This window comes from Homo sapiens, chromosome 15 (assembly GCF_000001405.40).
Source record: "Homo sapiens chromosome 15, GRCh38.p14 Primary Assembly".
Classification (NCBI taxonomy): Eukaryota; Metazoa; Chordata; class Mammalia; order Primates; family Hominidae; genus Homo; species Homo sapiens.
Window position 1 is genome coordinate 83645725 of NC_000015.10, and position 12275 is coordinate 83657999.

Below are 12275 nucleotides of genomic sequence, written 5' to 3' on the forward strand. Positions count from 1 at the left end.
GGAAGAGAGAGCCCGGAGAATGCACAGTGAGCTTTTCACTGCGTCAACCAGAAAGTGATACGGATCACTTCCATTTTTATTTTATTGGCTAGAATGACTCAATGGCTCTGCCTAACTGCAAGAAGACTGGGAATTGTAACCTTCCTAAAGCATTTGGTGAACACTTTGCTTTGCCTCTGCCACACTAAACACAACGGTATGAATACCAGGAGGTGACAGTCATTGGGGCCCTGCTAGAATCTGTTTACCACAGATACCCTACAATATTCCCTCAATTCCTTATTAGGCTGAAGGTGTGTGCACAGAAACCCATATATGGGAACAATATGAAAGTGAGCAGATAGGATTTGTTCTAGAACAAATTCATTCTTTCCTAGACATACCCCACCTCCCAGCCATTTATTTTGTTTTATTTATTTTTTTTGAGACAGGATTTTACTCCCGTCACCCAGGCTGGAGTGCAATGGTGCAATCTTGGCTCACTGTAACCTCCGTCTCCCAGGCTCAAGCAATTCTCCTGCCTCTGCCTCCCAAGTAGTTGGGACTACAGGTGTGCACCACCACACCCAGCTAATTTTTTTTTTTTTTTTGTAAAGACAGGGTTTTGCCGTGTTCCCCAGGCTGGTCTTGAACTCCTGAGCTCAAGTGATCCTCCAGCTTTGACCTCCCAAAGTTTTGGAATTACAGGCGTGAGCCACCGAGTCTGGCCCATTTATATTATTTTAAAACATGTATTTGGGATTGTAGATTGTTTTGACTGGAGAAAAATCACAGAAGGAGAATACAATTTATAATGATAAAATCCTGTGCTTGTACTTAAACTTTAGTTCTCAATTGAAATATTTTCCTAAGAAATGTCTAATACCCTCACAACTGAATTAGTTGCTGTTTTACCCAGTGCATTTATAGCTTCCTGCCCTTAAACCTCTGAGAACATTTATCACACTGTATCTCATCCGCTTCTGCAGGGCAGGTGCTATCTCTTGTCATGTCATTGTATTCCCAAGACTTTGCACATGTCTGACACAAGGTAGATTGTCAATAAATATATACGGCATTATACTGTGTTGAATTGAATTGTTCTTTAGGTCTAAAGCTGACCAGATGCAAATGGTGGGGTCTGAAGAAAATTGGTTCTTCACTCATCCATAGAACATTTTTGCCCGAGTCTGGGAAAAGAAGGGATAGAAATTTTTAATTGGCTATCAAAACCCTCCCAAAGTTAATGTGTTTTGCAAAACTTAATACAGAGAAATGTTTTTATTGAACTTATATTTGAAAAAATACTTTTCAAGTATTCCTTTGTGGTGCTTCCAACCCAAATATTGCCAAGCGGAGAGCGTAAGGAACACATAGGAAAGCAGACTAAACAGGCGAGTCTCATTTTGCGGTGTACAGGGAATGACACGCAAGGCGGCACCAGAGAAAATGCTTTCGTGTGCGACTCTTCTTGACGATTTGTCAGAAAACCGATATCACATTTTTAAACAATAACGGATGCTGTCTTTGGAGGAATAAGATTTCTTACTTTACACTCTGCTCTTTTGCTCAAATTAATTCTGGAATAAAATCCTGGTGATCTAGAGTTGTCAGAGATGATGCTCTAGATGTGAGTTTTTTGGTAAACCAAGGTGAATATTTACAGGAATATGTATAGCTTGGCTTTTGTTTTCCTTTTCTTCAATTTAAGTCTTTTGCATGTGAATATTTTTCTAAAACGTAACACGTACTTTCACACATTCATAAACAGAATCTAATGGACAAATGGGTTCATAACCTGGTTTCGTGAGCATGAACACAGTACTGTGCCTTCTTCTCAGGCTCCTCTGAGGTGAACTAAGCTGCACCAAACAATGGTGATTTTTGACTTTTTGGGTGCCTTTTATGTTTTTCTGTAGCACCTTTATCCTGTCAGTATGCCTCTTAGCAGGCATTCTGTCCCTTTCTAATTTATAGCTTCTGATTTACTCTTGAAAATCAGATGAACAAACTTGTTAAAACTGTGTGCAAAGTAAGAATCAGTAGTCTTCAGTGAGACCTAAGTGTCTGCTAATATACAATATGCTCAAATCTGTGATGTTGGTTGGATGCTGAGAGGTGTTTTCTATTACTAATCTGGTTGTAGTGAAACTAGGAGAGGCCCCCAGGGTTGAGTTCTAGGTTTGCAAGGTATTGCTGTAATACACAAGCAAAGTATAAAGACAACCTCACAAATTACACCAGAAGGAACTGTTTTTTTTTTTTTTTTTTGGGATGGAGTCTCTCTCTCGCCCAGGCTGGAGTGCAGTGGCACGATCTTGGCTCACTGCAATCTCCACTTCCCGGGTTCAAGCGATTCATTCTCCTGCCTCAGCCTCCTGAGTAGCTGGGTTTACAGGCACGTGCCACCACACCCGGCTAATTTTTGTATTTTTAGTAGAGATGGGGTTTTACCATGTTGGTCGGGCTGGTCTCGAACTCCTGACCTCGTGATCTGCCCACCTCGGCCTCCCAAAGTGCTGGAATTATAGGTGTGAGCCACCACGCCTGGCCGAAACTTTCTAATTTTTACAGTTTCACAATATAAAGGAGAAAGTCGATGCTCAGAGAGGCAAAATGGCCTGCCTAGAAGCCCTCAATCTGTGGCCACGCCCACACTGGAACTGGATTTCCCGACTATAGTTCCAGTACTCTCTACACTTGCCTTGCACCTCTAAGGGGAAGATAAGGTTCTTGTGAAGGGCAGAGTGAGATGAGTCCCAAGGCACTAGCCAACCTATTCTCCCCAGAGTATTTGTGCTCTGCTCATGTTCCACAGTGGAATCTACCTAGAGATGGGCAGGTGTACACACGCATGCTTATCAGCACCTTCCTAGCCCTGAAGGCCAGAGGGGAATTGTCCTCGGATTTGGGGTCTGGAGAGTTTGCTGGTCCTGGGAAGGCTCAACAATTCCCAACGCTATCCTTCACAGAACTTTAGGGGACTCTAGCTCCCCCTGCCCCACCCTAAAGACTGGGGACTTTCTAGAAAGAGATCGTCCAACACCACCTTCGCCCTCCTGACAGAGATTCTGATAGGCTCAGACCTCCAGTGCTGCAGCAGTACTAATTCCTAAGCTCCTGACTTGAAATCGCAGACCTGGCACCTCTAAGACTCATGAAGACCTGGGGATCTAAGTGCAGGCTGAGGGGAAAACCCAAAAGTGAGGCTCTGCCAAAGCACACAGAGCCCCTCACTCAGCAGAAACACTTCCTGTCACTACACTTCCCTCCCAAGGGCTGTTCTTGCTTATGAGCAACTGGATAAAGACTTGAACAAATTTTATAAAGCAAATTTCTATTCAAAAGAAGGACCCACTCTGGTCAGAAAACCATCAGTGCTAGCTGAGCATATTTCCTGTGTGGGACTAGGGATACGTCCTGAAAACCAGGCATGGTAGATGCCGTTGGAGAGGATGCCCTGTCCGATTTCTTTACCAGCAGGCACACCTATCCCCAGCATATATTTGGTGCAGCAGCTAAAGGCTTACAGCTGATACATTCCTGGAGCATTGTCCTTGGCCACAGGGAGCCACCTTGGAGGTTATACCACCATATACCACCACCCAGCTCCAGTGGAGGCAGTGACTTACTGGCACCCGGGTCAGCAGTTGGTCCTGGTGCTTCAAGTCACGGCAAATCTATGGTGTGGTTTCTGTTCCAGGATCCCCGAGGATCACATGAAGGTTAGGCTTGACCTCAGTCACAGCTTGCTCTAGTCTTGCGCCTTACCTATCCTGCTTCCCTCACTCCTTCATAGGTTTTTCCTGAAGAACACTCGCTAGCTAATTTTGTGCCCCTAAGGCACTATGTTCACCTAACATCCAGATGTGTTCTTTTTTTTTTTTTTGAGATAGAGTCTCGTTCTGTTGCCCAGGCTGCAGTGCAGTGGTGTGATCTCAGCTCACTGCAACCTCTGCCTCCCAGTTCAAGTGATTCTCCTGCTTCAGCCACCCGTGTAGCTGGGACTACATGTGCACGCCACCATGTCTGGCTAATTTTTGTATTTTTTAGCAAAGATGGGGTTTCACCATGTTGGCCAGGCTGGGTTCGAACTCCTGACTTCAAATGATCTGCCCGCCTCGGCCTCCCAAAGTGTTGGGATTACAGACATGAGCCACCGCACCTGGCCCCAGATGTGTTATCTCTTAGTGGCCTTGGCTGAGAGTGTATCTTTGGTGTCTGCTGCAGTCAATGGTAACTTCTATTGGAGTACTTGCCTCCAAGTACTCTTTTTCTCCAAGCCTCCAACACAGCGTTCTTGAGTGTGCTTCCCAAGCCCACTTCACAACTCTGTAACCAGAAAGAGCATTTCTGTTTCAAGAACAAATTAAGGCTGATGCCTGAATTGATATTCCTTGTCTCTAAGGGTAAAACCTAAACACACCCCAACACCACCATCATCAATAGTTCCTTTCCTGATCTTCAATGTGTATCTCTCACGTGAATGTTGTACTGTGTGCTTGTTGGGTTGAGGTCAACAGGCAAAGCTGGGAGCAGGCAAAGCTGGGAGCGCGGGCAGGAATCTCTGAAATTCATCTAGGAAGAAGCAGGTCCTGAGACAGGTAGTGAAAGCCAGGAAGCCAAGAAGTTGGATCTTAGGGAGGAAATGGAACTCAGTTTCCTCGACCCTTCAGAGTCTAAATGCATTGCCATTGTCCCCAGGTGGTGGGTGTTCTCACAGGGAGGAAGTCCAGGAAGTAGGCAGGGAGGGGCCTGAACCTCCCCAGATAGTGATTGGGTAGGTGGCTACACTCAACAGCCAAATCAGCCAGATTAGCTGCTTTGGGGTTTATTCATTCCTGTTCTTCCCAATTCCTGATCTCCCACCACACCATGCCTTTGGCAATGTCTTATTTAAACATTTGGGCCAAGCCTCAGGTGAGGAAGTAAGGATGGGAGGGAAGTGTGGGTGAGTGACTGAGGGAAGGGGTGAGGGAAGAGGTGACTGAGGGGTGGTGAGGCCATGATTCTGCGCATAACATCTGTGAAGTCCAGCCAGCACCCCCAGTGGAGGCTGTCCTCTGCAGCTCTTTGTTGTCCTAACTTACAGTACCTTGGCCACTCACACAGGTTTGCTTGACCTGCTAGGGTTAACTGGAAGGCAAAAGTTCTATAAAGGTATTGGTGATGTTTTCTCTACTACTTTTCGCTACTGGAACACCTGCTCTTTGAGGGGGCTGGCCTCCTGCTAGATGGAACCTGTGGGAGAGAAAGGCTCAGTCCTGGTCTTAGTACTTGGTGTGGGGCACTCCTTGGAGGCTGGCTCAGGAGTCAGATTGCCCAAGGGAGATGAGACAGGAAGTCCTGCTGAGCCATTAATACCTTAAAACAGAGCAGTGCATCTCAAATGTTCCCAGCAAAGTCCCCCAACTCCAGAGGCATTCTCAGTGACTTCTTGAGTTGCAGACACCGGGAGCTCTGCTTAATGCAGCCACCACTGCACAAGCATAATATTTCTTTGAATTCTCCATTTCATCTTGCATATTCATGTGACTTTTTTGCATTTGACTCCATGATATGGTGGGGCTAGTTTTAGAATATGAACGATGAGGAGTGGTATCGTCTAGTTGCTAAGAACATGAGGTATTTAAACCTTTCCACTTCAGTTTCCTCATTTGCAAAATGGGAATAAAAATAATATCTACCCCATAGGCTGTTGTGATGATGGGATGACTCGGTATAAGCAAAGTATCTGGAACAGTGCCTGCCACATCCTAAGTGTTTTGAATGTTAATGTGGCTATTCCTTTACTGATACTCTGATATGAGAAGCACGAAAAATCAATTCTCATTATTTGCAGATTCCTTATTGTGAATTCAGCTACTGGGTAAAATTTATTTGTCACCTCCGTTAAATTAAGTTTAGCCTAAAGTTGCCTTCTTACATATTTTAAGTTCGGCCTAAAGGTCTCTCTGTACATAGTAAACTGTAACCTGATGATGTGTAAACAGACTGTAACCTACTCTTGAAGCAGTCACAGAGTTTTGGCCAATCACAGGCGGTCAACTGTTTAAACCATGTTTAAATAAGGCAAATGCCGAGCTGTAACCAATCCAGCTGTTTCTGTACCTCATTTCCGTTTTCTGTTCATCATATTCCGTTTTCTATCCATAAATATTATCTGACTATGTGGAAGCCCCAGAGTTGCTCTGAATCTATTTTGTTTTGGGGCTGAGGGGGGCTGCCCTATTTTCAAATTGTTCTTTGCTCAATTAACCTCTGTTAAATTTGTCTAAAGTTTTTATTTTAACACCTCATAATCAATAGCTGCAGCACTTTCAAAGTCATTGAACCAGTGCTGAACGTTTTGAGTCTCTTGAGACACATGTTGGAAGCTAAGGTCCAACCAGTCAACCCTCTGTCTTCTTGTTTCAGCTTTCACACTGTAAATGAGTGGCCCAAAAGTTCTCTTCATTGCCATGTTTTCACATTTTTTTGGTCTTTTTTTTGATGATTTTGCTGCTTAAAGCACCCCCCAGGCACAGTGCTGAAGTGAAGTCTAGCGTTCCTAAGTGGAAGAAGGCTGGGATGTGTGTTGCAGAGAAAATACGTAAGTTAGATAAGCTTCATTCAGGCATGAGTTACAGCACTGTAGGCTGTGAGCTCAGTGTTCAGGAATCAACAATAGATGTTAAGTAAGGCGTCTTTAAACAGAAACATGCATAAAATAAGGCAATGTGTTGATTGATTGACAAAAATATTGTGAGCTTGCAGGAACCCAACTCTATATTTCCCCTAGGAACAATGGCTCCATATTCACAAATTCGTTGTTCTGTGACTTTATAGACCACAACTACAGTAAATAAAAAGGATCGATTGTCCATAGATGAGTTAGTTCTAGTTTAGCCCAGCCCTCCCTACCCTTCACTGGCTACTCTTACCTCTCCTGTCTCCACACTGACCTGTCCTCTGCTCACTTGCCACAAGTCCAATCATTTTACATAGAGTGGAGAGACAGCCTTGAAGATCCTCTTCTTGGTCAGAGGAAGTCACCAGAGTAAGTAAGGGAAGAATGAGTGAGGAAAGCAGGCAGGGCCAATTGCTCTTGGCAAAGCTCTAGCAGTAACCGGAACGCAGCAACCACAGAGAAGGCAGGAGAACAACTTTAGGGGTGAACAGTCCAGGCTCTAGAGAGAGGCAGATAGGGGTTCCAGTCCTGGCTTCTCCACTCATGGTGGGCAAGTTATCCTCCCAGCCTCAGATTTATCCTAGGTGAAATGGGATAATGCTCGAACTACTGCTGCTGTGAAGATCAGATAGACACAAAGAGCTTGGTACTCGACAGACACCCAAGGAAATGGCGACTGTGGTAGGACTTAGGTGGGGGCATAATGCAGCCTTTAAGATCAATCTCCTGGCCCTTGGCTTATCCTGCTGGGACTAGGACAAGGACAGGGACAAACATTTCCTTTTACTTCTCCTCACCTCCAGAAGTACACAGGCAACTCACCCCAGTCTCTTGTCCGCGACACTCTTCCCCCCAACCCCAAATCCCAGGCCTGGACACGGCATGATTCTGGCACCTGTGGAGCTCTCAGTTCCCCAAGCCCGGCTCAGACAAGGAGGCGCCAGGTACCCAGTTAAGAGGCGCTCCTGCAAGATCCTCGTGGTCCCTGGCTGCCAAAGGTCCCAGGCCTCTGGGCAGTGAGCGCTCCACAGTCCCTTGTGTGGCGTCTATGCTGCGCGGAGGAGGCGCAGGCCAGGAGAGGGCCATTGGTCTCCACTATGGTCCTGCCTGGCCAGGAGTGCCTATGGCTCTTAGGCACGAGCCAGCGGTTCCGGGCAAACCTCTGTGTGGCTGCTGGGCCTGACTTTGCAGAGCTGGCGCCCGGGTCTGGGCGGGGTGGGTGGAGGCTATGGGAGGTGGGGCCGGGGGTGGGCTCGGGGGGAGCGACGGCATCCCTGCTCCGGCTCCGGCTGAGGCGGGGCGGCCAGGCTGGCTTGCGGCGCAGCGGCCGCCTTTCCCCAGTGCGCCTGCCGGCGGCGGCGGTGGCGGCGTCGGCAATCCCGGCTCTTGGCACAACGCCTGGCGGCCGGCCCAGGGCGAGGAGTGGCTTCCAGGAAGCGGGCGGAGGAGCGTTCCAGCCGAGTCCCGCCGTCGCCGCGGCCCCGCGCGCTCCGAGCGGCCCGGGCCTGGCCCCACACGGCGTCTCTTCGCGCCCCCGGCGCCTCCAGCTCAAGCCGAGGGCGCGGTGCCGGCGCGCAGGCTGACGGGCGCCTGGGCGCGCCGTGCACTTGCCGGGCGGTGCAGGTGGCGGCGCGCGCCCTCCGCCTCTGGGCCGGGGCCAGCGCAGCGCTCTGCGCGCCCGGAGGGGGCGGGAGAGGCGGGGCAGCCCCCGTCCCAGCCCCATTTAACTTCGCGGCGGCGGCGGCGACTGCGGCGCCGCGGGCTGGAGGCCGGCGTCGGGGAAGGTCCTGGTGCCGGATTCCGCACGAGGTGTTGACGGGCGGCTTCTGCCAACTTCTCCCCAGCGCGCGCCGAGCCCGCGCGGCCCCGGGGCTGCACGTCCCAGATACTTCTGCGGCGCAAGGTGGGTGCACCGAGCTCGGCGCAGGGCGGCCCCTCAGGGGTCGGGGGAAGGCGCTCCCCAGAGGGAGTAAGACTTGGAGCAGTGGCCTCTCTAAGCAAGTTGGGGGTCTCCAAGCAGAGTCGGGGCGTGCCACGCGGGCCCCAGGGGGCCTCAGGACTGGGGTGCTCCTCACTGCTGGGCACCTCGGGTCGGGCGCGCTTCGTGCCGTCCCGGAAGGTTCAGGGAGAGTCTTTCGGCGGCAGTTCGCGGGCTGAGGGGCGTTCTTGATTATGGGGGAACTCCACAGGGTTGGAGTTTTTCAGGATTGGGAGTTACTAAGCAGAAACCTCGCGGGTCCGAAGGTCCGGCCGGTTGACCACTGGGTAGCGAGCGCCCAGAACGCCGGGGGTTGAGGCGACGCGCGATCGTGGAAAGTGGGCGTGGGGGTGACCGGGACGCGGCGGAGGCACTGGAGGAGCGACTTCGAGGCAGCGGGTAGTCGGAGGAGTGTGCACTCGGAAGGCTGGTGCGAGCAGGCGAGGGTGGCGCAGAGTCCCAGGGCCCCGCACTGGCCGCCTCCCTTCAGCCAGGAGTCGCCGCCTCAGGTCGGAAACAGCAGCACATTTGCGGATCACATTAGACCAGGCCCTTAATGCCTTCTCCAGATGGAGAGAAGCCACCGACCCGCCCCCGGACACCAGCTCCGCCAAGGCGCCCGCGAGGCGAAGCGGGAGTCGAGTGTGACCTCGGCTTTTCCAGTCTCGACTCATACTGATTTCCCTGTAAATTGACAGGAAAAGTAAGGGAAAAAGTCCCCGCTTCCCTCCTGGTTTCAGCTGACCTCTGCTGGCTGGCCCTCACCTACTTTTAGGAGATTGTGTTAGGCTGGCTCAGGGGCTGTGTCCTCCAAACCTCCCTGAACTTAGCTCTCAGGCGTCTCTCTGGGTGTGGGTCCCGGACCTCGAGGGCGCACGGTGTCATCTAGCGAGGAAAGCCTTGAACTATCAGAAGATCTGCGTTTCAGCCCTAAAATGTCACTATCTTGCTGTGTGACCTTAGGCAGGTCCTTTCCCTCTCTGGGCGGCTTTGTTGTCTTAGACTCATTTTTGCCGCGAGCAGCAGAAGCTAGCCTAAACCTTGGCTCTGTGCTGGCTTCCTGAGTCAAATGCCAATAGCGACACCCTGCTGCTGACAGATAGGCTTGGGCAGGGATATCTCAGCTTCTGAAGAGCTGGAGGTATGAGATGCCCACTGGAGACAGGTCCAGCCCTCGCCTGACTTTGTTGTGGACCTTCTAAAGGGAGCCCAGTTAGCCTGCACCCTGCAGTAGGCAGCGGCAACCTGGGCCAACACAAACCTTTCCAAAATAGTATATGGGCTTCAGGGTCCCTCCATCTAATGGGTCGCTTAAGTCACGGTTTACTGCCATGGGGGCCAGAGCTGGTTGGTAATGAACTCTTTCCTCGTTTGTAGGCTACAACTGAGACCCGGAGGAGACTAGACCCCATGGCTTCCTGGACGAGCCCCTGGTGGGTGCTGATAGGGATGGTCTTCATGCACTCTCCCCTCCCGCAGGTAAGGTCATATAGGGAGGGGAAGGGAAATGGTGGACATCCCTCTGTTTACTCAGAGGCATTATTGTATACCACCTAAGATGTGGCATGATTAGTGTTAATCCTACACCAGAGAACCAGACTTTCTTTCCTATCTCTAGCCAATGGTATTTCTGGTTGGCTTAGCTGTAAGGATTATCCAGATCCCTTGGGTCCTCTCTGAATCCTGAGTAGGGCTTTAATAGCACTGTGGATACCATACACCGGTGATGACCTGGGGCTGTGATGGACCCTGTCATTTCAGACTAGAATGGCTGTCTGCATGTGCCCAGCAGAGGCTGGGTTGCTGGAGACCAGGAAACAATGGGCAGAGCCAGGTTCTGGCCCTAGCTAAGCTGCTAAATAAATATTCTGAGTTTACATCTATCATCACATATCCCACTGTTTTATCCCACAGTCCTCTCTTTAGACTTCTGCTGTCTTTTCCAACCAACTTGAGAGGACCCGGCTCATGAATTGCATCTTTATTTGCCTAAAGGACAGACTCAAACAAAGGAATGAGGCTAGCATTGCCTAAGAGACAATAGAGAGTAACGGAGACAGTGGCAAAGTGCAGAACGCGTGCTCCATCTATTAAGAGCAGTCTCTACTCAATTCCATCTGATCGTTGCTAAGTGGAGACATAAGCCCAGGATTGCCAGATCTTATTTTTCAAGATAGCTGGATCATCTAGACTTCTTACAAAATTTCCCAGTTTTTAAAGTATTGAAAGGCAGATAAATGTGTTTGCAGCCTGGATTCAGCCAAGCAGTTTGCAGCCCCAGATCTAAAGGCAGGGCACATCTTAGTATTGTGTCCCAAGGGCTGCTGCTAGCTCCATACAGTGTCTTATGAATTAGAACAAGGCAATCCCTCCCTGCAGACATAGCTTCTCAAATACATGGCTTGGTGGCCTGTGTACCCTCAGGGTCTCGGAAGGGACTTGTCACTTAAGGGCTTAAATGTCTGTTAAATAAACATGCATCCATGAATGAAGATATATACCCTGGGATAAATTAATCAGACTCCTCTGCCTCTTGTTTCACTTTCTTGGACTTAGTGCCTCTAAAGCCTCTTTTGGCTCCAATGCCCTGTGAATTCTGTGATGCACAAAGAACTGGTCAGCAAGGTACATCTTCTCCCCACTATCCCATTTTATCGATACTATCCCATAATCATATTAATAGAGCTCTTTTGTTAGAACAAAAGTTAAGTCTTTTCAGGATGATGTTAGGGTTCTCTGGCCAGCGAGATGACTGTTGAGGTAAAAGCGTGGAGACTTACGTTTCTGTCTCATCAGCGGATCTGAAACAGGCTTTGAGAGCTTCAGAGATTTGTTCCTGGTCAAATGGGGCTGAGGCTTCAAGGCACAGTGTTCATTTTGCCTTCTTTCACCTTATAAAATTTAAATATGCTTTGAGGCAGTCTGTTGACCTTTGGCCAAGGGCAGTGTTTGCCCAGCTTGAATCACTCACTGACCTCTTTTGGATTTTTCCATATCTGTGTGCCTGTGGCAGTGCTGTTTCCATGTATCCAGGCAGTGTGCATAGAAGGTCATAAAAGGAGATTTCAGACCAGCAGTCTTCATCATTCACGCCACTCACTGTTCGGATCCCAGCTCTACCACTTCATTACTGTGTCACGCAAACGTCTCTGCATCGCATCTCAGTTTTCACATCTATACAGAGGAGATAATATTAGTATAGACCTCAGAATTGTTTGGAAGAGTTAATCCATTGTGAAGTGGAAAAAAGTGAAAAACCAAACCAAACAATGTCTGGCACATAGTAAGTGTACAATAAATGTCAGCATTCTGCTGTTGCTGCTGCTTGTCAGCATTAGAAGCTTGAAGCAAGCGCAGTGCCTGTATTTTCTGGTGTAGAGCCTGTAGGGGGCACTCAAGAGGTATCAGCTGTGGAGGGCCTGATCTTCAGGGAGTGTGGGTGGGCATGGCTAGGTCTGTCTCACCAGAGGCCCTGAGAAAAGGTTCTAATGAAGGGTGGTAGGTCAGCCCTGTGTCCCTGTCCGTGGGTTGGATGCTCTGTTTTTTCCGTAGGGTCAGCCTGGGTTTGACTCAAGGCCGCCCTTTCTGAAGTATCTTGTGATTTTGGTGTTTGGGTGGGGCTTAAGGTGTTCCCTGGCGTCTACCCTT

The 12275-nt window shown here is 49.4% G+C and overlaps 1 protein-coding gene across 12 annotated transcripts in view, besides 1 other annotated feature; it reads left to right on the forward strand.

Moving 5' to 3' along the window:
* Positions 6868-7037: an enhancer, noted in NCBI's record as "experimental_41546 CRE fragment used in MPRA reporter constructs". NCBI's record gives its function as "activates a minimal promoter by MPRAs in K562 erythroleukemia cells, with activity observed for both the introgressed and non-introgressed 15:84321429 variant alleles {active_cell/tissue: K562}" and the evidence as "EXISTENCE:reporter gene assay evidence [ECO:0000049][PMID:34662402]".
* ADAMTSL3 (ADAMTS like 3) overlaps positions 8399-12275 on the forward strand; it is a 385720-nt gene continuing 381843 nt past the window's right edge. For 11 of the 12 annotated variants that reach the window (XM_011521823.3, XM_017022434.2, XM_011521822.3 and 8 more), the window contains exons 1-2: positions 8399-8552; positions 10005-10106. In XM_011521823.3, coding sequence (XP_011520125.1) covers positions 10038-10106 — 69 coding nt within the window. In that variant the 5' untranslated portion in view covers positions 8399-8552; positions 10005-10037. Of the gene's footprint in view, positions 8553-9159; positions 9331-10004; positions 10107-12275 lie in introns of those variants that run through there. The other variant, XM_047432885.1, reaches the window with a different exon arrangement.